Here is a 25,557-nt window from a genome sequence, read left to right on the forward strand (position 1 = left end):
CCTCAACTCTCTATGCTTTTTGAAAGACTCAAGACAACCTTAAAATTCAATCTAGTCCTATCACTACTATTTACACATACAGTGGTGTTACTAATCTGGATCACAAAATTTCAGTAAGTGGCTACCAGGTAAGGAACTGCCAATCTCAGCCTCACATGGTAGTATTAATACAAGTGAGCTAGAATCTGGCCTACTTAGGCTACTGGAACTAATTAAGATTTGAAGTTCAAGTTCTCTCCTGTCTGCATAAACCTCCATGTACAGAAATCATCTACATGGAGCTGGAAGTTGCCAAGATGAGATATTAACATTTGGCAAGCATACTAAATTCATTGTCCTATGCATCCATGGGTATATAATCAGTATTTGAAGGAAGGGCAATAAACCACTTTCCAAACCAAATGCTCTTTGTTTATGGTCCTTATTTCCCTTTTCTCAATCTACAGCACCAAATACTGATTTAAGAACGGGAGATCTCCAAAAATCTAATTTGAAAAACACATAAATGGGTTCCCTGCACCACATTTTCAGAACTATATGGGGAGTGGGGTGAAGGGGCATATGAGGAGAATAAAAAGCAAGACCAACCAGTTTTGAAATGTAGTCCAGAACCATCTGTTCAATTTTCTTCTTTTCTACACCCTGTAGGTGTCTCAAAAAATGGTCTTTTAGCTCAGACACCATCTGAAAACAGGATATGCATTAAATAAGTCACAGCCTACCCACTCATACCTGCAACTGGTTTGAATTAGATCCACTTATTAACATTCTTCATCAATATAAAAAATACTGGATCTGAAGGTCCCATCAATGGAAATGCATAACTCTCAGTATTTCTCTGGTGAGCATAAATAAGGGGTCCCCAACATTTGCCTCAAAAGGAATTACTTATGATTCACCCAAAGCCCCGTGAGCAACTGCGAGTAAGGCTCTAACTCTGACGAGAATCCTCCAAAGAAGACAGTGAAAGTCACCAACTTAGAAGTCACAGGCTTTGGGATCTACCAAAGGATTAAAGTCTACTTCTCCTAGAGTCCTGGGGGATTAACAGGAACAACTCTATATATAGAATGACTGAGCCAATGGGGGCAACAGTTTTGGGTGTTTTGGAAGGACAGAAGCAGGAGTAAATGGGAAATAATCAGGTACTTCCCTCTACACAGTGGCCACAGACACTCAACACAGCCCCTTGACATGCAAAGGTAATGAAATATTCATTCTGGTGCCTCCAAATAGGTTTGTTTCTATACTCGCTTTGTTTGATCATCCTTGGGCCTCCCCACTTCCCCAACCATTAGCATTCCCAGCCTTCCCCACCTTTTGCTTTTCTCTCTCCTCCTCCCTCCTCTCCCTTTTGCCCAGACAACACGCTCAGCAAGAGCAGGATGCCAGGACCACGTTTGTGCCAATAAACAGCCCAAGGGAGTTGTACAGCTTATATCACCCATGCACACATCTTCTATTTTAGCAGGTTCACATTACAATACCCCGAGTAAAACCAAGTCCACAACCTTCAAGGCCAAGACATAATGGTACCTTAATTCAATTCAGTCTCATGCATGTGCCAATTAATTTGGCTTTAAATAAAAGATGCTTTCTGTGTAATACATAGTGCATACTTCTTTGTGCTTTTCAATTTTTCCATGAAGATAAAAATTAAAATCACCCATAATCCTACCACCCATATTAACAATTGCGTTTTTTTTTTCCTGGCGTGCACACCCATTCTAATGTTGCATGTTTGTCGTGTAAACATTGTTTGCCATACTTTTTTTTTTTTTTTTTTTTTGCTCTGTCACTCAGGCTGGAGTGCAGTGATGCGATCTCAGCTCACTGCAACCTCCACCTCCTGGGTTCAAGCGATTCTCATGCCTCAGCCTCCCAGTAGCCGAGATTACAGGCACGTGCTACCACGCCCAGCCAATTTTTGTATTTTTAGTAGAGACGGTGTTTCACCATGTTGACTAGGCTGGTCTCGAACTCCTGACCTCAGGTGATCCACCCACCTCGGCCTCCCAAAGTGCTGGGATAACAGGTGTGAGCAACAGTGCCCAGCCATGTTTGCCATACTATTTTAATGGCTGTGCAATATTTAATTTTATAAAAGTACTATAATTATTTCCTTCTTGTATATGTGAGATTTTTCTTTTACTATTGTTGGCATATCTAAACTAACCTCTCCTAATATATTAAAAACTATGAAACTCAAACCTTACCATAGAAATTCAAATATATTATGTAGAAACAACACTAATGACTGCAATAAAGGCAGAAAACTTGAAAATTAAACCTAAACTAATAAATAGATTATCCCATTCTTAAGTCCACATGGTATTAAAAAATATCTTATTAGGCTTTCCAGATGTCTCTTTAATCAGCTTTTTAAAGGTTTTGGATTTATTTACAAATTCTGCTTTTCAATTGAAAATTTATTTTGATTCATATTTTTTTGGTCATCCTAGTATTATGACTTCTTGAGAAAAAGTACTTTGTTCTGTTGTTTTTATGTTGTTGTTTTGTGTTGTTTTCTGAGACGGAGTCTCCCTCTGTCGCCCAGGATGGAGGGCAGTGGCGCAATCTTGGTTCACTGCAACCTCCACTTCCTGGGTTCAAGCGATTCTCCTGCCTCAGCCTCCTGAGTAGCTGAGATTACAGGTGTGCACCATCATGCCCAGCTAATTTTTGCATTTTTAGTAGAGACAGGGTTTCACCATGTTGGCCAGGCTGGTCTCGAACTCCTGACTTCAGGTGATTCGCCCACCTTGGCCTCCCAAAGTGCTGGGATTACAGGCATGAGCCACTGTGCCCGGCCTGTTCTGTTGTATTTGAAACCCCAAATACAAATGCCACAAAGATGCAGCTCTTTCCTTTTTTAAAGCACTCTCAACACTATACACTCCTTTTATCATGGTTTGTAAATTACATATGTATTGGTGTGATGCATGTGTGTCTTCCCCCTTTGACTACACATTCCAAGAGGGCAGAAATCATATGGGTTGCTTACCACTGGGCACACAAGGTCCATAATGCTGGCAAAACATACTTGTGCAAAGAATAAAGAATAAGATCAGAATGAGAAGCCCACTGTAATCCTTTCCCCTTGTCTTAGGGTTCCTTGTTTGCCAGCCCCTAAAGAACCCACGTACCACTTACCAGCCCCATGAGCAGCCGCTGGTGGCTGTCTTCCTCCTGCAGGAGGGGTGTTAATCTTGGCCCTGAAATGAAACAGAGCAATAGTTAGGCTCTGAGCAGTTTTCAGGAGATGGGTTAGAAGGAAGAAGAATCAGCCTGGGTTTCCCTTCTCTGAGTCATTGAGAAAACATAACACAGGATGAAAATTTTTCATCACCTAAGTGTGACCTAGTCCTACAAGGTGAACTTATCAGAGCTGTGTGAAACAGGGAATGACCGAGAAAGAAAGAAACCAACACATTCCTCAACCCCAGTAGGCTCTAGCTTTGATTTTTGTTCAACACTAAAACTCACTGCTAAGAACCTCTGCTCCACTGGAAACAGAGGGACTTGGGCCTTCTCTTAACCCTTCTGGGGTCATAAATTGAGGGAACAGCGCTCGGTGGAAGGACTGCATGGCTCCCTTCTACTTTCTGAACCCTGTAGTTCAGTAGCCTTGGGAGTTACTGAGCTGAGGGGGCCAGTCAATTACTGCAGCAAATAATACTAACTGGCACAAGTTATCAGACTACAAAGGTAGTTAGGTAAAGGTGGAAAAGTGATATGTTAAATCAAATGGTACCTTCTCCACCATGATTTGCAATGCACACTACAGTGTAGTGGCCCTAGGGGCAGACAAACCCAGTCTTGCTGGAAAATCTGCCCCAAAGCGCTTCTAACTTCTTTGTATTCCATTCTTTTCTTCTTAAATACTTGAGATCCAGTGCCAGGCAAGAGGGCAGAACCACCCTGCTCAGTGGGCTGGCAACTCCTTCTGGGAGGGCATCGATATCTCTTGACCCCCCGGGATAAATCTTCCCTGGATCCTACACAACCCTCGTGATTGAGATGAAACAATTTAACATGTGAATCCAACAGCCCTGCATTTCACAGAATGTTCTGTTTCAGGCAGTGACATTCTTTATGGGGAACTAGTATACGCAAAGCACGTGCAAGGAAAGGGAAGAGTTTCCTAAAGTGCATTAAGATAGACTGACTAGTAACAGGATGCAAACGGCCCTGACACATACAGTAGCTCCATAAGCAGGGCAGGAGGGGTGGCACGACAGAAACCTCAGCCAGACCAGCAACGTTCCCCGTGTTGCGAAACCCCCAGCAATGCAAGGATGATAAGCCTGAAACACACACACACATGCCCGTGTCTGGCAGGGCAGATCCCCTGGCTTCAGGGATTGATGGCCTGGTAAGGCAGAGGCTGGTTCCTCCTGGGCTGGTCAGTGAGCCCAGGCTCTGTCAGCCTAAGCTGGATGACAAGTGCACTGTCACAGTTCACTGTGCTGTGTGCACAGCTGGAGGAGGTGCAGCAATGCACTGTATAAAATAGTTTCCATTAGAATCACCCAACATCCAAGCCCATAAAACAGGAGTGGGATATAAAAACAAAAGCTTATTTAATGAAGGCTGACCTTCATGAGGCACGAAAGTGTTCTTCTGGCAACTACAAATAAGCCTGTGCCTGAATATGCTCAGCATTCCCCTCCCCTGGTTTCACTTGGCCAAGTCCCCTTTGTTTATCAAGACTTAACTCACCTGTCAGCCCTCTGGGGAGCCTCTTCCAACCTCCCTCCCTCCTCCAGCCATCCCCGCTCCTAACCTATCCTCTCACTCCCCGCACCTATGGATTATATAATACCTGTCATTTGGTTTAGAAGCCACATGTTAACATTTCTTCTTTACACACTAAGGAATAAAGCAGCCACCTCAGGTACCCTCATGTGCTAAGCACTATGTTAGGTGCTATCTGCATTACCCCATTTAGTCTCATTTTCTCCTCACTCCCCTAAGGACAGTGCACAAATGGGTAAGTGACTTGCCCAGGAGCACATGGTTCACACAAGAGGCCATGCTGGAATATAAGTCCAGCTCTGTCTAGCTCTCAAGCCTGTGCTCTTTCCCCCAGAACCACACTGCTTACCTGGAAGCTCCTCATCTTTATGCCTCTAGGACCTGTGTGCCCAATTTTTAACCCAAATGAGAGGCACAAACAAGGCAAGACCCGGTAGGATCAGACAGCTAGAAAGCAAGCAGCACCAAGCCAAGGGAAATGCCAAAATGCATCCTGTGGGCACAGCCAGAGGGCAGCTCTGTATGACAGGAAATAAGGAGAACCGCAAGGCCATCACCCAGGGACTCCCATCGCAAAAGCACATTCAGCAGCTGTCCCCGGAGGTCCTGGTGCCTAGACAGACATGGGAAGAGCCGTGCGGCCACTCTAACAGCAAGATATTAAAAGGTGCTGCCTGCACCACACTACTGGAAGTGATTCTCTTGCCAACCCACAGTGGTAGGAAGAACAGTGCTACAAACAAAACACTGACTGGAACCCAGAAGGCTTTATTACAGATCTTTTCTTACCCAAATTTCTTGCTTCTAGGTTAGAAATCACCCTACGAAGAAATTAGCCATGTTATTCACAGACAGCATTGCTTTTAAAAAATTTAAAGCCACATCATACAAAGATATCCTCCTTTAAAAATTCATAAAAACCACTGTAGAAACTATTCTCAAGCTGCTGAAAACCTCAAAAACTTTGATCAATGTAGTGAAAGCCACATTAGGCAATTAAAAAATCTCAAAACCCTTTAGTGCCAACAACGGCAATAATTTAGAACAACTGTAGCTCTCAGTTATTGAAAATAATGGGGACAGAAAATAGAACAGAGGTTGGAATGGGGCCTATACTTTTAGTACTCTGAGATGACTCATATATCCAGAAAATAGGCTTTCAAAATAAAAGCAAGCTCACTAGCCCACTGACACTTTAAAAAAAAAAAAAATCAACCTACTATTTGCCTTTCTCTCCTAAAATGCTAATAGGAAATTTCTTTACCAATTATCCATTGTAAACATCTATCCGCAGGTTACAAGTCTATAAGGTTCAACATATAAGCTTTTCCCACCAGAAATTCCAGCACCAAATTCCAGAATAGGGTCCAAGTGGCTGCATTCATGAAGCTGACAATATTATTTTGCTGGGGATATGCAACAAAAGTAAACTACTTCTATAAAAGGTAGCCAACAAAACAAAGTAATTGTAAATGTCAACCATCTTACAGATATGATAACCTCTGCTTTCACTTACTTTACTGCATTATCAAGAATATTCCTCACGTATGCCGCAGACCTTCTTTTTCCTGTTTTCTAGGAGTGAGAACACGTCAGAAATGTGGAAGGTAAAGGTTTTATCGGTGACTTTTCACGTCAAGGATATAATGCAATACAGTTAAGAGCATCAGAGAGAAGAAATATACTTTCCAGGTAATCAGAACACCTAGATTTTTTTTAAAGTTTTAAGAAATATTTTATTCTGAAACAATTACAGATTCACAGGAAACTGCGAGTCAACTATATACTACACACAACAACACTAATCTACATGCAGCGATACTAGAGAGAGATGCAATGTACCCTCCACCCAGTCTCCTCAGTGCTTATATCTTACCTAACTAGAGCACAATATCAAAATCAAAAATTGACATTGGCACAATGTGTGTGTGTCATTCTATGTCATTTTATCATGTTTAGATTCATGTCCCACAATGTACCACCACAATCAACACATAGAAGTCTTCGATCACCCCCAAAGATTTCCCTGGGTCACCCCTGGACAGTGAGTCACGTCCACTATTCTCCCTCCAACTACCCCAACCCCTAATGACCACTAAGTTGGGAACACCTAGATTTTTTAATATCAATTTTTAACTACATAAGTAACCTGAGAACACATCTGAGACATGGATATTAATCATACTTCTACTATGAATGTGCTGTGTGTCCCCTTAAACTTTCTGCTTTTCAGTTTCCTCCCTAGGAGAACAGAGATCATAGAAGCATCTCTGCCCATTGAGATCAGTAATGACAATGATCAAGTCCCTGGCAATTGGGAAGAGTGCTGCACATGGAAGCCAGCCTTATGATTTAAAGGCATCACCTGGATCCAGTCCACTATGCCTCGCTGCTGGCTTTGTTCTCACTGACCCACTCATACCTCTTCAGAGATCAGGTTGTGCCACTCTCTCCTGACCACACTGTTGTTATAGTGGAAGTGTGGCTTGGCGTACTTAACATATTCTAGGTTGGAGTTCAGTTTTTCCCAGTAGCCCTTAAAGCTGAGCACCTGTAGGAGACAAAAACATCAGTGGCCTTCAGAGGCAGGCCCAGTGGCCCAAACCACCCAGTGAGTATTACACAAGCCTTATTTCCCGAGCTCTCAGGGTCCACATTTCTGAGTGAATACTTTGTACAGAAGATGGCATTCTAGACCCAATAGGGATTCTAAAATAGACTTAAAGAATCTTCTTTACCCACTTCATTTTCTGTCTCTTTTTTTTTTTTTTTTTTTTGTCGTTGTTTTTTTAAACCACATAGAGAACTGCTGCTCACTTCCCAAAACCAACAGGACTTCCCCAGATTGAGGCTTAGCAGGGAAACCTGTATTAAACACACTGAGTCATTTCCTCCCTTGAGACCCGTTTTTATGACTTAGGTGGTGTCAACAGTGCCATGTTCACTAAGAGAAAGTTCATTAACATTTGGATAAATGGAGTAGGCGTACTTTCCTGCTAAATTTATTTACTGCCCAGGACATTTTTCAAAACCTAGGAATCAAAAAAAGATAAAATGAACTAATTTTACATTGTCACATACACCAAAACAGAATTAGTCAGCATTCTATCTAGATCTTTGAATTATTGATATAATTGTACTACCCTGAAGCAAGAATGTATCCATTATATTCATTTTTAAATAATAAAATGCAATGTTAATACGTTCTTAGTGTTGACCAGGTGCAGTGGCTCATGCCTGTAATCCCAGCACTTTGGGAGGCTGAGGTGGGCGGATCACGAAGTCAGGAGATCGAGACCACGGTGAAACCCCGTCTCTACCAAAAATACAAAAAATTAGCCAGGTGCAGTGGCGGGCGCTTGTAGTCCCAGCTACTCAGGAGGCTGAGGCAGGAGAGTGGCATGAACCCAGGAAGTGGAGCTAGCAGTGAGCTGAGATCATGCCACTGCACTCCAGCCTGGGTGACAGAGCGAGACTCCGTCTCAAAAAAAATAAAAATAAAAAAATACATTCTTAGTGTTGAAGGATATTCTGACACAACTTGGTTTTAAACCAATAAAGGTAGACTTAGGATACTTTTTGCCAAAATATGTGCATTTACAAATGATTTGACTGGGGCCAGAGATGTAATGTGTGGTCATAAAACTAAGTGAACTATTGCCTGCCAAGGTGACAAGACTTGGCTGAACTGCAAGAAAAATAAGAAAACTTAAAAACAAACAAACAAAAACACCTCAATCAAGAAAAATGCCCTCATGTTAAATTATAGCACATTATTACCATTTTTATTCAAAAGACAGTCATAATTGGTTTGAAATGTGTTTTGGAGTATCAGTAAAGTAAGTAACATAATATTAAAACTTGCTCTTTCAGAAGCCTGAAATGCCCATCCAGCCAACATCCCTTCTCCCAGAGACAGAAAAACTCTTCCCAAGAAAGTCTCATGTCCCGGGGAAAACAGGAATCAAATCCCACTCCTCACTTGACTCACCTCACTCATCTTTTCTTTCCCTTTCCATTTATTTATAATGAACGTACACTTATCCACCCTTTGGGTCTTCTTTGTATTTAAGAAGAAAAAAAAAAAAAAAAAAAGACAAGACAAATCCTGCAGACGTTTGATGGAATTAGGTCCCTGACTGGAAGTCTCTAAAGCTTTCTTGCTGTCCTAATCTGGGCTCAGGCACAGGAGTGCCAAAAGCCAGAAAACTAATTGGTGTTGTGGTGACATCTAGTGTTCAGTTGAGCTATTAATTCCTCCTGCTTGGCCATAAGAGTCCCACCCACGCAGTTCACCCAGACCTTGCCCAGGACAGGATATGGGAGGGGAGAAACTCAGATGCCCTCTAACTGTCATCTGGCCCCATCCCCTCAAGTCAAATGCTATCCTGTTGTTAGAAGTCCCCACTCACTGCAGCTCCTAAGAAAAGATCTCTCCCAAATTACCTTCCTTCTTACTCCATTTAAAAAATCCCTTTCCTCATAACCTTTTGGGGAGGTAGGCACATTTTTCATAGTTTTGTTTTATTTTAAATTAACAAATAATTGTATATATTTATGGGTTGCAATGTGGTGTTTCAATACATGCATACATTGTGGATTTATCAAATCAGGCTAATTAGCATAGCCATCTGTCTGCTAAGAAGAAACAGATCAAACAGAGCTCGCCACATGTCAGTGGACAGGCTTTCCAGGGGCTCCAGCACCCACTGCCTGAATGTAAAATAGAGCATGTGTTTGTATGAGCGCTCTTCTGGGTAGATGGTCTATAGCTTGTACCAGATTTTCAAAGAAATCCATGGCCTAAAATAGACTAGAGTTAGAAGGAAAAAGATCTGAATTTAAAATAAAACAAAAATTAAAATTTACACTTAAGTAAGAAATACTGTTAGCCAAACATCCCAAAAATATTTTCACACGAACTTACATGTTTTTTAGGAGGGGGGTCACTGGCCTAATATAGATATTAGATATATCTATAATATCTTACAGATATTAAGATAATACAGAAAAATCTATATATTTCACTATTTGGTATCCACTAGAGAAGTGATCTAACTTTTTTCAGTTAAGAAATGCGGCCAGGTCATGCCTGTACTCCCAGCATTTTGGAAGGCAGAGGCAGGCGGATCACAAGGTCAAGAGATCAAGACCATCCTGGCCAACATGATGAAACCCCATCTCTACTAAAAATACAAAAATTAGCTGGGCGTGGTCGCATGCACCTGTAGTCCCAGCTACTTGGGAGGCTGAGGCAGGAGAAACACTTGAACCCGGGAGGCGGAGGTTGCAGTGAGCCAAGATGGCGCCACTGCACTCCAGCGTGGCGACAGTGCGAGACTGTCTCCAAAAAAAAAGAAATGCAGAGATTATTCTAAATTGGAAGGTCTATTTGGAAACTTGGAAAACAGAGATGGAACAGGGGAGGGAAATGGATTTGAGTCAGTGAAGGACAAGGAAAGGATATTCCAGGTGGGACTCTTTGGGTGTGAGCAAAGACACAGACTAGAAGATGGATTCGGGGCTCAGATCTGAGCCAGAGCATCAGAGTCAACAGTACTTCATTCTCTATGGTGAAGACAATAGCCTCCAGCATGTGCAACTCCCAGCCTCAGCTGCCCATTGGAACCACCTGGGTCCCATCCCCAATTAGATTTAATTGGCTTGGGGTATGCCTGAGCCTTATGAGTTTTACAAGTTCCCCCAAGGCATCCTAATGTTCAGCCAGGACTGACAACAGTGAGCATGTTCAAGTAATCCCGGGCACCCCACCCTCAAACACTTTACTCAGTCTATACACCTCTGGCTTAAAGGCTATATAAATCACCAGCTGTCTAAAGACTTCTGATTGTGTGGTTTTAAAATAGGAGATATAGTTAAAGAGGTAGTTAGGGCCAAATCTTTGAGGGATTCTGAATGCCAAGGTGATACCAGCATGCTCATTATCCCAGAGAATAAAGGATCTCCCACATAACGTTTTAGATGTTGTAACCCAGAATGGAGGGGAGGGGAGGGGAAGGGAGAGTTGAATCTGCACAATCCCAAGAGCCAAGACACACCATCGCACCACTATGCTCTAGGATGAGACTGGTCAAGAAACAACAGATGCTGGTGAGGCTGTGGAGAAATAGAAATGCTTTCACACTGTTGGTGGGAATGTAAACTAGTTCAACCATTGTGGAGGACACTATGGCGATTCCTCAAAGACCTAGAACTGGAAGTATTATACCATTTGACCCAGCAATCTCATTGCTGGGTGTATACCCAAAGGAATACAAATCCTTCTATTATAAAGCTACATGCACGTGTATGTTCACTGCAGCACTATTCACAATAGCAAAGACATGGAATCAATCCAAATGCCCATTAATGATTGACTGGATCAAGAAAATGTGGTACATATACACCGTGGAATACTATACAGCCACAAAAAGGAACAAGATCATGTCCTTTGCAGGGACACAGATGGAGCTGGGAGCCATTATCCTCAGCAAACTAACAAAGGAAGAGAAAACCAAATGGCACATGTTCTCACTTATAAGTAGGAGCTGAACAATGAGAATACATGGACACAGGGAGGGGAACAACACACACTGGGGCCTGTTGGGGGGTTGGGGGAAGGAGAGCATCAGAATAAATAGCTAATGCATGCTGGGCTTAATACCTAGGTGATGGGTTGAGAGGTGCAGCAAACCACCATGGCATGCGTTTACCTATGTAACAAACCTGCATGTCCTGCCCATGTATCCTGGAACTTAAAATTTAAAAAAAAAAAAAAAAAAAAAAAAAAGATGAACCTGGGAGCACAGGAAATCACTGTCAATCAGCTAGCAGTTATCCAACAAAGCAAATACTGTACTCATCAGGAACAACAGCACCACAAAATGAAAGCCACAACTGCCCAGGAAGCCCATCACCGGCAACTCGAAAAGAGCTAATAAAGCTTTAAAAATAAAACACAAAAATGCTGTATAAGAAACATACCCGGCCAGGCATGGTGGCTCACGCCTGTAATCCCAGCACTTTGGGAGACCGAGGCGGGTGGATCACAAGGTCAGGAGATCGAGACCTTCCTGGCTAACACAGTGAAACCCCGTCTCTACTAAAAATACAAAAATTAGCCGGGTGTGGTGGCGGGCGCCTGTAATCCCAGCTACTCTGGAGGCTGAGGCAGGAGAATGGCATGAACCCGGGAGGCAGAGCTTGCAGTGAGCTGAGATCGCGCCACTGCACTCCAGCCTGGGCGACAGAGCAAGACTCCGTCTCAATTAAAAAAAAAAAGAAAAAAAGAAACATACCCATGCCAGATGCAGTGGCTCACACCTGCAATCCCAGCACTTTGGGAGGCCAAGATGCGTGGATCACTTGAGCTCAGAAGTTCGAGACCAGCCTGGGCAACATGGTGAAAACCCGGCTCTATTAAAAATGCAAAAAATTAGCCCGGCATGGTGGTGTGTGCCTGTAGGCCCAGCTACTTGGAAGGCTGAGATGGATCACTTGAACCTGGGGAGGCAGAGGTTGCAGTAAGCCAAGAACATGCCACTGCATTCCAGCCTGGATGACAGAATGAGACTGTTTCATAAAAAGCACGGCAAAGAAAAATACCCCTGAATTAGAGACAATGTTAGAAGCAATCACATCCTCAAGGAATGACCTGGAAGCATTTTCCTACATAAAGGGGAGTTTTTTCTCTTAGGATGACCTGAAATAATTGCCAAACACAGCCCATCACAACTATTCACTGAACAAAAGAACCAGTGGGTTACATTAAGGAATTGTTTCCCATTTATGATTTGGATTGCCAATTGATCCAAAAACAAACAAAAAAAAAAGCTCTGTGGTACTGGCTCATCTGCAAATTACTGCCAGAAAAAAAATCTGCCTTTCATTTCTAAAAGGCACTCTGGCTTTGGTCCTACTTCTGCTGATTAAGCAGCATCTTCTTACAGAGAAGGCAGCCAACTCAAAGAGAACCCTTTCCTCTGTGTGCCAGGACTCAACTAGCACAGCTAAAGCATCATCCAATTTGGCTCTTCAGTGGATTCCATCTCAGTATCAGCTTTTACTTAACAACCCAGAGAAACACAGTGACCCACTACCTCTAAGCATTGACAGAATAAATAGAAAATGTTTGTGTGTACATAAAGCTAGGAAGGCACTAAACTAAGATGCTCTAAACAGGAACACTCATACACAGGGCAAATGACCAGAACTCCTGAGGCTGCCCACTTAGGGAAACGCATGCTGCAATTTCAAGGTCTCCTGAATATAATTGGACTTGCTCCTTCTTCCCCAATATCTAGCAAAAATTTCCACTTACTTGCCCATCTGGGTAGTTCTATTAGCCATTTTTAATGGATTGGATTTTTTTCTAAAAATGAAATCACTAAATATGGCTCTAAACTATTCCATCTCACAATCAGCTTATGCCCTGAGAAAGTCAATGCTAAGCTCTTTCCCTCCTCTCAGTCTTGAGAATGAAAAACACCTGTCCCCAACCAAAACTATGAATAAGACCAGCACAGTGTAGTAGGTGGTAGAAGAGGAACAGAAACAAGAATCCTCCATCCTGGGTCTGTTCCTCAATTTCATCATCTAGGAAGTAGGCTGAAGACACCTCCATTGCTACAGAAACAACAGGAATGATATCACTAGCCTCAAGCTCTTTTTTTTTGTTTTTGTTTTTTGAGACAGAGTCTCCCTCTGTCGCCCAGGCTGGAGTGCAATGGCGCAATCTTGGCTCACTGCAACCTCCACCACCTCCCAGGTTCAAGCACTTCTCCTGCCTCAGCCTCCCAAGTAGCTGGGACTACAGGCGCCTGCCACCATGCCCAGCTAATTTTTGTATTTTTAGTAGAGATGGGTTTCACCATGTTGGCCAAGCTAGTCTCGAACTCCTGACCTCAGGTGATTCACCCGCCTAGGCCTCCCAAAGTGACGGGATTATAGGCATGAGCCACCGTGCCCAGCCAGTATCATCTTATTTTTTTAAATCTATGCTAATCTACCTCTAATGAGTATTTCTTTGTTGCATCATAAAATTAAGGTTTATGGTATCCACTGGCCTCACTATAATTAACTGTTCCAGAAAATATGTGCAAACTGAACTTTGGGAAATCAGTATTTCCCACATAACCAACTAACACTGCTATTGATGCTACATCTTTGTCAAAGCAACAATTTTTTAAAATTGTAAACTATTATACTGTAATTATACCATTACTTCAGACCACTAAAAAACTTTTTATTTAAGTGATCATGGTTGTCTGTATTGTGGGGTCAAGTCTTTTGTGTTTCACTAAGCAATTAATTACATTCATGCTCTGCCCAATTAAAACTTTGTGTTTTGTTTGTGAGGTGGAGTCTTGCTCTGTCGCCCAAGCTGGAGTGCAGTGGCACTATCTTGGCTCACTACAACCTCCACCTCCCAGGTTCAAGGGATTCTCTTGCCTCAGCCTCCCAAGTAACGGGGGCGGGGGTGGGGTGGGGGGGGGGTTACAGGCGTGTACCACCACACCTGGCTAATTTTTGTATTCTCTGTAGAGACAAGGTTTCACCATGTTGGCCAGGCTGGTCTCGAACTCCTGGCCCCAAGTGATCCACCCGCCTCGGCCTCCCAAAGTGCTGGGATTACAGGTGTGAGCCACCGCACCCAGCCTACAACAGTTTAACACCAGTGAAGAAGCAGATAAACAAGTCTCTGGAGAGCAGCCCAGGTATAAACTACTCTTCTCCCAGTTGCTCAGGGGCATCAGACCACTGATAGACATTGGCAGTAACACCCTCACATCTGAGTGGCCATAAGTAGAAGGGAGCAGTAAGTTTTTGTCCTTCCCAGTCTCTGAGTCAGGTAATCAACAATCTCTAACAAGTGATGAAATACACTACAGATGTCCAACTTAAAGACTGTGGTAAAAATATCCCATTTCTCCATTTGTAGCATGCTCATCTTTTATCTTTATATTTAAGCTATTTTCCATTTTTAAAAATCCATACATGCTTCCTGTGGTTGAATAGTTTTAATGGTTTTTCTTCTCATAAAATCAAGGGCAGGCCAGGTGTGGTGGCTCATGTGTGTAATCCCAGCACTTTGGGAGGCTGAGGTGGGATGATCCCTCGAGGCCAGGAGTTTGAGATCAGCCCCAGCAACATACCAAGACCCTGTCTCTACAGGAAACAAACAAACAAACAAACAAAAATTAGCCAGGCATGGTGGCATGTGCCTGTGGTCCCAACTACTTGGGAGTCTAAGGTGGGAGGACTGCTTATGCCCAGGAGGTCGAGGCTGCAGTGAGCCACTATGGTACCACTGCACTCCAGCCTGGGTGACAGAGGGAGACCCTATCTCAATCAATCAATCAATCAAAATTTTTTAAAAATAACCATAAAATCAAGGGCAATTTTTAGCCTTTTATGAAAGTTGCCGTTTCCCTAGAGCAATCCACAGTTTACAAAGGGATAAAATCATTCTTAGGAAGGATACTCTTAATGACATTCCTTTTAAGGCAAGCACCTTGTTTCAACATATTTCCTGTTAGTGTTTTTAAAATGACTTTGAGAACTATTTATAAGATGAGGAAGTCCTTTGTCTCTCTAGGAAAATTTTCTGATTTAACCGGTTTATTCTGCCCAAGATGTTCATATAGGTCTTAGTCTGTTACAGCAGGTACACCAAAATACCATAAACTGGATGGCTTATCAACAAATTTATTTCTCACAGTTCTTCCGACTGGAGTGCCCAAAATCAGGGTGTGGTCAGATATGGTGTCTGATGAGGGCCCACTTCCTAGACTGCCATGTGTTCGCTGTAACCTCATGTGGCGGGAGGGCAAGTTGGCTCTGTGGGGTCTCTTCTATGAGGGCACTAATTGCAATCACCAGGGCTCTGCCCTCAGAAATAATCACCTCCCAAAGGCACCACCACCTAAAACCATCACCTTGGGGGTCAGGACTTCAACATATGAATCCTGAAGGGATGTAAACATTCAGACCATAGCAATATTGCAATTTATTAAACATTTGTATAGTGTTCCACTTTATACTAAAAGGAAGTGCTTCAGAATGCAGACAGAACAGGAGGAAGGTACCTATTCAGTTCCCACACACACACCCCCGCCCCTCTCCTCCCTTAACTCCTTATCAGGGCACTTATCTACTAAGGAGAAAAGAAATAAGTTTGGTCAGAGTAAATAGGGGTACCTTGGTCCTCAAAGAAAAAATGTGGAAGCAAGCACACACTCTTACGTAATTTGTGATTGAGGTCACGAGTGTCCAGAGCCACCTCCTGTTGGGTAAGTATGGCAAGAACAGTCACATAACTGAGACTAGGGAGAGAGGAGCTGAGGGTGGGACATGCTCATGCAACCAGCTCCATCCCTCTATAATTAAGTTGGGACTTGGGGGTAGAAGAAGTAGGTTAAAGGTGAAGGTAGCAGCTTGGAGTGAATGGGTGGTATTACGCGAGCAGAGATGAGGAAACAAATGAGAAATAGCAGGATCAAGTGTCCTGGGAATGAGAATCTCCTGATTAGAGTCTCCCATGCTGAGCATTTGGGGTAGGTGGAGTTGGTCAAACAAAACCCAGTACTATCTTCTCCTGAGTCCAGGGCTAGTCCCAGCAATACACCTCTGCCTTCCTTGATGGATCATGGCTGTGTGCAGAGGGTCATAGAGAGATCTACAGTGCCTCATACTTGTCCTCAGTATTAATAACTACTAGCAGATGAATACATGTGGAGCCAAAAGAGCCCCCAAGCATGTGTGGAAATGATGAATGGGAAACAACTGTCTGCAGAGCCAAATACAAAAGCTATGGGTAGAGGAGAAAAACGTGAGGAGAAAGAGGGAATGTAAAAGGAGGACAGAAACACATGGAGGACATAAAATACTCCATTTTACACACACCCACACACAGAAAACAAACAAGCCAGTGCAAAAAAGAAGCGACTTTGTTCCTAAGCAAAGCTAAATCATATTCTTAGAAAACCTAATAGGTAAAAGTTAATAGGACCTTTCCATCACTCTTTTATACTTAACTTTTTAAATGAAAATACACAATGTTGATAAGGGTATAGTAAAACGGGTAAACTCATAAATCCCTTGTAAATGTAAATTATCCCTTGTCAGGCCTCTGAGCCCAAGCTAAGCTATCATATCCCCTGTGACCTACACGTATACATCCAGCTGGCCTGAAGGAAGTGAAGAATCACAAAAGAAGTGAAAATGGTCGGTTCCTGCCTTAAATGATGACATTCCACCATTGTGATTTGTTTCTGCCCCATCTTAACTGAGCGATTAACCTTGTGAAATTCTTTCTCCTGGCTCAGAAGCTCCCCGACTGAGCACCTTGTGACACACGCCCCTGCCCATAAGACAAAACCCCCTTTGACTGTAATTTTCCACTACCCACCCAAATCCTATGAAACAGTCCCACCCCTCTATCTCCTTTCGCTGACTCTTTTTGGACTCAGCCCACCTGCACCCAGGTGATTAAAAAGCTTTATTGCTCACACAAACCCTGTTTGGTGGTCTCTTCACACAGACACACGTGACATTTGGTGCCGAAGACCCAGGACAGGAGGACTCCTTCAGGAGACCGGTCCCCTGTGCTTGCCCTCACTTCCGTGAGGAGATCTGCCTACAACCTTGGGTCCTCAGACCAACCAGCCCAAGGAACATCTCACCAATTTCAAATCGGGTAGGCAGTCTTTTCACTCTCTTTTCCAGCCTCTCTTGCTACCCTTCAATCTCCCTGTCCTTCCAATTCCAGTTATTTTTCCTCTCTAGTAGAGACAAAGAAGACACATTTTATCCGTGGACCCAAAACTCCGGCGCCAGTCACAGACTCGGGAAGATAGTCTTCCCTTGGTGTTTAATCGCTGCGGGGACGCCTGCCTGATTATTCACCCACACTCCATTGGTGTCTGATCACCGTGGGGATGCCTGCCTTGGTCATTCACCCACATTCCCTTGGTGGCAAGTCAATTGCGGGGATGCCTGCTTTGGCTGCTCACCCACATTGCAGCCCAGGGCTGCTCACTACCCCCACCCCTTCTCCGTGTCTCTACCCTCTCTTTTCTCTGGGCTTGCCTCCTTCACTATGGGCAACCTTCCACCCTCCATTCCCCCTTCTGCTCCCTTAGCCTGTCTTCTCAAAAACTTAAAACCTCTTCACCTCTCACCTGACCTAAAACCTAAGCATCTTATTTTCTTGTGTAACACCGCTTGGCCCCAATACAAACTTGATAATGGTTCTAAATAGCCAGAAAACAGCACTTTTGATTTCTCCATTTTACAAGACCCGGATGATTTTTGTTGAAAAATGGGCAAATGGGTCTGAGGTGCCTGACTTCCAGGCATTCTTCTACACATTGGTCCCTCCCTAGTCTCTGCTCCCAATGTGACTCATCCCAAATCTGTCTTCTTTCTCTCCTGTCTGTTCCTTCAGTCTCCACCCCAAGCTCTGAGTCCTTGAATCCTCCTTTTCTACAGACCCATCTGACCTCTCCCCTCCTCCCCAAGGCTGCTCCTCACCAGGCCAAGCCAGGTCCCAATTCTTCTTCAGCCTCCACTATCCCACCCTATAATCCTTTTATCACCTCGCCTCCTCACACCTGGTCTGGCTTACAGTTTCATTCCACGACTAGCCCTTCCCGACCTGCCCAACAATTTCCTCTTAAAGAGGTGGCTGGAGCTAAAGGCACAGTCAAGGTTAATGCTCCTTTTTCTTTATCCGACCTCTCCCAAATCAGTTAGTGTTTAGGCTCTTTTTCATCAAATATAAAACTCAACCCAGTTCATGGCCCATTTGGCAACAACCCTTAGATGCTTTACCACCCTAGACCCAGAAGGGCCAGAAGGCCGTCTTATTCTCAGTATGCATTTTATTACCCAATCCACTCCCGACATTAAATAAAGCTCCAAAAATTAGATTCCGGCCCTCAAACCCCATAACAGGACTTAACTAACCTCACCTTCAAGATGTACAATAATAGAGTAGAGGCAGCCAAGTAGCAACATATTTCTGAGTTGCAATTCCTTGCCTCCACCGTGAGAGAAACCCCAGCCACATCTCCAGCACACAAGAACTTCAAAATGCCTAAGCCACAGTGGTCAAGCATTCCTTCAGGACCTCCTCCCCCAGGATCTTACTTCAGTGCTGGAAATCTGGCCACTGGGCCAAGGAATGCCCACAGCCTGGGATACCTCCTAAGCCGTGTCCCATCTATGCGGGACCCCACTGGAAATCAGACTGTCCAACTCGCCCAGCAGCCACTCCCAGAGCCCCTGGAACTCTGGCCCAAGGCTCTCTGACTGACTCCTTCCCAGATCTTCTTGGCTTAGCGGCTGAAGACTGACGCTGCACCATCACCTCAGAAGCCTCCTGGACCATCACAGATGCTTTTGGCAACTCTTACAGTGGAAGGTAAGTCTGCCCCCTTCTTAATCAATACAGAGGATACCCACTCCACATTACCTTCTTTTCAAGGGCCTGTTTCCCTTGCCTCCATAACTGTTGTGGGTATTGAAGGCCAGGCTTCAAAACCCCTTAAAACTCCCCCAACTCTGGTGCCAACTTGGACAACATTCTTTTATGCACTCCTTTTTAGTTATCCCCACCTGCCCAGTTCCCTTATTAGGTCAAGACATTTTAACTAAATTATCTGCTTGCCTGACTATTCCTAGGTTACAGCCACACTCTCATTCTGCCCTTTTCCCTAGTTCAAAGCCTCCTTCGCATCTCCCCTTGTATCTCCCCACCTTAATCCACAAGTATAGGACATCTCTACTCCCCCCTTGGCGACCAATCATGCACCCCTTACCATCCCATTAAAACCTAATCACCCTTACACTGCTCAATGCCAATATTCCATCCCACAGCACACTTTAAAAGGATTAAAGCCTGTTATCACTTGCCTATTACAGCATGGCCTTTTAAAGCCTGTAAACTCTCCTTACAATTCCCCTATTTTACCTGTCCAAAAACCAGACAAGCCTTACAGGTTAGCTCAGGATCTGCGACTTATCAACCAAATTGTTTTGCCTATCCACCCCACAGTGCCAAACCTATATACTCTCCTATCCTCAATACCTCCCTCCACAACCCATTATTCTATTCTAGATAAACCTAGTTGACCCCATAGATCCTAAATCCTTTCCCCACTCTCCTTTCCATTCCTTAAAAAACAGCTCCCACACTAGCTCTCCCTAACTTATCACTCCCTTTTCATTACACACAGCCAAAGTGCAGGGCTGTATGGTTGGAGTTCTCACACAAGAGACGGGACCGTGTTCTGCAGCCTTTCTGTCCAAACAACTTGATCTTACTGTTTTAGCCTAGCCTTCATGTCTGTGTGTGGCAGCTGCCGCGCTTTAATACTTTTAGAGGCCCTCAAAATCACAAACTATGCTCAACTCACTCTCTACAGTTCTCATAACTTCCAAAATCTATTTTCTTCCTCACACCTGACGCATATACTTTCTGCCCCCCTCCACTACCTCTCAGCAAGCCGAACTCATTGCCTTAACTCAAGCCCTCAATCTTGCAAAAGGACTACGCATCAATATTTATACTGACTCTAAATATGCCTTCCATATCCTGCACCTCCATGCTGTTATATAATAGGCAAAAAGAGGTTTCCTCACTATGCAAGGGTCCTCCATCATTAATGCCTCTTTAATAAAAACTCTTCTCAAGGCCACTTTACTTCCAAAGGAAGCTGGAGTCATTCACTGCAAAGGCCATCAAAAGGTGTCAGATCCCATCGCTCAAGGCAACGCTTATGCTGATAAGGTAGCTAAAGAAGCAGCTAGCATTCCAATTTCTGTCCCTCACTGCCAGTTTTTCTCCTTCTCATCGGTCACTTCCACCTACTCCCCCACTGACTAACTTCTACCTATCAATCTCTTCCCACACAAGACAAATGGTTCTTAGACCAAGGAAAATTATCTCCTTCCAGCCTCACAGGCCCATTCTATTCTGTCATCATTTCATAACCTCTTCCATATAGGTTATAAGCCGCTAGCCCATCTCTTAGAACCTCTCGTTTCCTTTCCACCGTGGAAATCTATCCTCAAGGAAATCACTTCTCAGTGTTCCATCTGCTATTCTACTACTCTTCAGGGATTGTTTAGGCCCCCTCCCTTCCCTACACATCAAGCTTGAGGATTTGCCCCTGCCCAGGACTGGCAAATTAATTTTACTCACATGCCCGGAGTCAGGAAACTAAAACACCTCTTGGTCTGGGTAGACACTTTCACTGGATGGGTAGAGGACTTTCCCACAGGGTCTGCGAAGGCCACCGTGGTCATTTCTTCCCTTCTGTCAGATATAATTCCTCGGTTTGGCCTTCCCACCTCTATACAGTCCAATAACACACAGGCCTTTACTAGTCAAATCACCCAAGCAGTTTCTCAGGCTCTTGGTATTCAGTGGAACCTTCAGGCCCCTTACCATCCTCAATCTTCAGGAAAGGTAAAATGGACTAATGGTCTTATAAAAACACACCTCGCCAAGTTCAGCCTCCAACTTAAAAAGGACTGGACAATACTTTTACCACTTGCCCTTCTCAGAATTCAGGCCTGTCCTCGGGATGCTACAGGGTACAGCCCATTTGAGCTTCTGTATGGACGCTCCTTTTTGTTAGGCTCCAGGCTCATTCCAGACACCAGCCCAACTTGGACTGCACCCCAAAAACTTGTCATCCGTACTATCTTCTGTCTAGTCATACTCCTATTCACTGTTCTCAACTACTCATAAATGTCCTGCTCTTGTTACACTGCTGGTTTACACTGTTGCTCCAAGCCATCACAGCTAGTATCTCCTGGTGCTATCCCCAACTGCCAGTCTTAACTCCCTTTTAGAGTGGATAGATGATCTTTGCTGACGGGGTACACTCCAATACTTTCACCCTGACGAAGTCCTATTCTTTACTTTTATACTCATTATTATTCTTGTTCCCATTCTTATGCCACCCTCTACCTCTCCCCAGCTATCTCCACCACACTGCCAATCTCACTCTCACCTAGCCATTTCTAATCCTTCTTTAACAAACAATTGCTGGCTTTGCATTTCTCTTTCCTCCAAAATCGCTGAGGCCTCAACTTACTCACTGCAACAACAACAACAAAAAAAGAAAGGACTCTGTATATTTTTAAATGAAAAGTGTTGTTTTTACCTAAATCAGTCTGGCCTGGTATATGACAACATAAAAATCTAAAGGATAGAGCCTAAACTTGCCAACCAAGCAAGTAATTATGCTGAACCCCCTTGGGCACTCTCTAATTGGAGGTCCTCCCAATTATTAGTCCTTTAATATCTGTTTTTCTCATTCTCTTATTCAAACCTTGTATTTAGTTTCTCAATTCATCCAAAACCACATCCAGGCCATCACCAATCATTCTATACGACAAATGCTCCTTCTAACAACCCCACAATATCACCCCTTACCACAAAATCTTCCTTCAGCTTAATCTATACCACTCTAGGTTCCTATGCTGCCCCTAATCCTGCTCGAAGCAGCCCTGAGAAACATTGCCCATTATTGCTCCATATCACCCCCAAAAAATTTTTGCTGCCCCAACACTTCAATGCTATTTTATGTTATTTTTCTTATTAATATAAGAAGACAGGACTATCAGGCCTCTGAGCCCAAGCTAAGCCATCATATCCCCTGTGACCTGCACGTATACATCCAGATGGCCTGAAGGAAGTGAAGAATCACAAAAGAAGTGAAAATGGCCGGTTTCTGCCTTAACTGATGACATTCCACCATTGCGACTTGTTTCTGCCCCATCTTAACTGAGCGATTAACCTTGTGAAATTCCTTCTCCTGGCTCAGAAGCTCCCCCACTGAGCAACTTGTGACACACGCCCCTGCTCATAAGAGAAAACCCCCTTTAACTGTAATTTTTGACTACCCACCCAAATCCTATAAAACGGCCCCACCCCATCTCCCTTCGCTGACTCTTTTCGGACTCAGCCCGCCTGCACCCAGGTGATTAAAAAGCTCTATTGCTCACACAAAGCCTGTTTGGTGGTCTCTTCACCTGGACGCACGTGACATCCCTTTCATTGAATATCAATTTATCACAAAATAAGAATCAAATGCTATAAAAATCGTCATAGCCTTTCACCCAATGTTACCTCTGGGCTCTTAACCTTAGGGGAATAGATCAAAAGAAAAACTGTATGTATAAAAATGTTCACTTTGGGAGGCCGAGGTGGGCAGATCACCTGAGGTCAGGAGTTCGAGACCAGCCTGACCAACATGGTGAAACCCCGCCTCTACTAAAAATACAAAAATTATCCGGGCATAGTGGTGCACACCTGTAATCCCAGCTACTCAGGAGGCTGAGGCAGGAGAATCGCTTGAACCCAGGAGGCAGAGGCTGCAGTGAGCCGAGATCACACCAAAGCACTCCAGCCTGGGCAACGAGAATGAGACTCCATCTCAAAAAAAAAAAAAAAAAAAAGAAAGAAAGAAAAAAAATTCTCTGCAACATTATTTCTAACAGCAAAAAGAAATTTTTTTAATGGGGGCTAGGGACAAACTAAATGTCCAAAAAACAGAAGAACAATTGAGTTAAGGCACTGCAACCCAGCAGGGCATGGTGGCTCATACCTGTAATACCAACACTTTGGGAGGCCGAGTTAGGAGGATGGCTTTAGCTTAGGAGTTTGAAACTAGCTTGGGCAACATAGTAAGACCCTGTCTCTACCAAAAAAAAAAAAAAAAGTTTTAATTAACCAGACATGATGACATGTACGTGTAGTCCTAGCTACTCAGGAGGCTGAAGCAAGAGGACTGCTTGAGCCCAGGAGTTCAAGGTTGCAGTGAGCTGTGACTATGTCATTGCACTCCAGCCTGGGCAACAGAGTGAGACCCTACCTCAAAAAAAGAAAAAAAAAAAAGTATGACATACTTATTGTGGTGTTTTGTATGTATTAATTTTCATCCACCCACTCCTGGTTCACAATGCCCATAGCCTTTGTTACAGCCTGATGTTATAATATCGGGTATTTTAGGCTTCGGGACCAGGACTAGTCTCGGGAAACTCTCTCTCCTGCCTTCCTTTCACCTGCCCTAAGGCATGACTCTCCCCTCCACCACTCCCCACCACCACCCCCCGCCCCACCCCCCTGCCTTTCTGATTGCAGATCTTAAGACCCTCCCCTAAGAGGGTCCTGCCTCATACCCTGGAGGGAAGGAATGCTTCCATAAAAATCCCAGAAGACTGGGTTGGGGAAGTTTCCCCATAGCTGAACAGGTGGAGGTTCCTGGAGGGTGGTGAATCGAAAGAGGGCATGGAAGCTCCACGTCCCTTCCCCCATACCCCACTCTATGCGTCTCTTCATCTGTTTCCTTTGCAATATCCTTTATAATAGGCCAGTAAACATGTTTCCCTGAGTTCTGTGAGCCACCCCAGCAAATTAATCAAACCTAAAGAGGTACCGTGGGAACCCCAACTTAAAGACAGTTGGTCAGAAGTTCCAGAGGTCTGGACTTGCACCTGTTATCTGGGGGTGTGGAGGGTAGTCTTGGGGACTATGTCCCCCAACCTGTGGGATCTGACACTGTCTCTAGGTAGATAGTGTCAGAACTGAATTAAAGGACACCCAGCTGGTGTCTGCTGCTTGGTACATGAAGAATTCCCACACATTTGGTAACAGAAGTGTTTTTCTGTGTTGATGATTATTGTTGCAGTGTGAGAGAGAGGGAAAACACAGTTTGGACAGAGTTTTTCCTCACACACTTACTAATTTAAAATAATAAAAAGAAAAAGACACTGCCATCCAGTGGAATCCTATGGAGTCATTAGAAATTATAAGTTTACATAGCAACATGAAAAAATGTTTACAATAACATAATTTCTAAAATTTATCTAATATCTGTAGATCACAATTACTACTGGGTAAAATATGCATACCTATAACAAAGGCCAAGAGGAAATGGGGGAGAAGAGACAGTTGGTACATTAGGAACTGTAGAATTATGGATGATATTTCTTTCAAAATTTTTCTTCACTGGTTTGTTGTCCATTAAAAAATTATGGTCCATCATGGTGGTTCACACCTATAATCCTAGCACTCTAAGAGGCTAAGGCAGGAGGATGACTTGAGGCCAGTAGATTGAGATCATCCTGGCAACATAGCAAGACCCCATCTCTACAAAAAAAAAAAAAAATAAGAAAAAATAAGAAACTGGATGGGTATGGTGGCTCATGACTGTAGTACCAACCACTCAGGAGGCTGAGACGGGAGGATTGCTTGAGCCCAGGAATTAGAGATTATAGTGAGCTATGATCATGCCACTGCACTCCAGCCTGGGCAACAAAGAGAGACCCCATCTCTAAAAATAAATAAATAAAAACACATTATGGATTTGGTAAGACTAGTAGAAAAGGCAGAAACAATAAACAATAAATAAAATGAATGGGTGGAATCTTTTAAAACACCTTTTAAACTATTAATAAAACCTTTCTTTTCTCTTCATCTTCATATGTTAGTAGGACTTCACAGTAGTCCCATGCTTTTGCCTGGAAACACAGATCATCAGTCTATTTTTAAGGGATTCTTCTTAGGACCAAAACCTAGAACCACTAACCTGGCCCCCGATCTACCCTCTCTTGCCCCCAGTGAATCACTGTGACCTAAAATGCCACAGCCTTCCCCCAGCTGTCCAGGCCCGGCCTGCCCTTCACAGATACAAAAGAATCAAATGGAAATAAAAGGCGTCAGCACCCTGAGCTCCCTGCTGCCAGAAGTTGAGATTTCCCAGTCTACCTCAAGCTATGATT

The 25,557-nt window shown here is 43.7% G+C and overlaps 1 protein-coding gene across 29 annotated transcripts in view, besides 1 other annotated feature; it reads right to left on the reverse strand.

Moving 5' to 3' along the window:
- The window catches only part of GSAP (gamma-secretase activating protein), a 105,880-nt gene that overhangs the window by 12,308 nt on the left and 68,015 nt on the right, over positions 1–25,557 (reverse strand). For 19 of the 29 annotated variants that reach the window (NR_146937.2, XM_047420491.1, XM_047420494.1 and 16 more), the window contains 5 exons: positions 7,181–7,309; positions 6,275–6,333; positions 5,548–5,579; positions 3,154–3,215; positions 589–684 (listed from right to left, as the gene is read on the reverse strand). Coding sequence is in view for 23 of the 29 variants with exons in the window: in XM_047420491.1 (XP_047276447.1) it covers positions 589–684; positions 3,154–3,215; positions 5,548–5,579; positions 6,275–6,333; positions 7,181–7,309 (378 nt within the window). In the remaining 6 variants the exon portion in view is untranslated. Of the gene's footprint in view, positions 1–588; positions 685–3,153; positions 3,216–5,547; positions 5,580–6,272; positions 6,334–7,123; positions 7,310–7,747; positions 7,791–25,557 lie in introns of those variants that run through there. The other 10 variants (XR_001744817.2, XM_017012350.3, XM_011516331.4 and 7 more) reach the window with 7 other exon arrangements.
- Positions 24,975–25,549: an enhancer, noted in NCBI's record as "NANOG-H3K27ac hESC enhancer chr7:76977350-76977924 (GRCh37/hg19 assembly coordinates)". NCBI's record gives its function as "activates a minimal SCP1, AML or CMV promoter by ChIP-STARR-seq in primed H9 embryonic stem cells {active_cell/tissue: H9 hESC(primed)}" and the evidence as "EXISTENCE:reporter gene assay evidence [ECO:0000049][PMID:30033119]".

Source organism: Homo sapiens, chromosome 7, assembly GCF_000001405.40.
Source record: "Homo sapiens chromosome 7, GRCh38.p14 Primary Assembly".
NCBI lineage: Eukaryota > Metazoa > Chordata > Mammalia > Primates > Hominidae > Homo > Homo sapiens.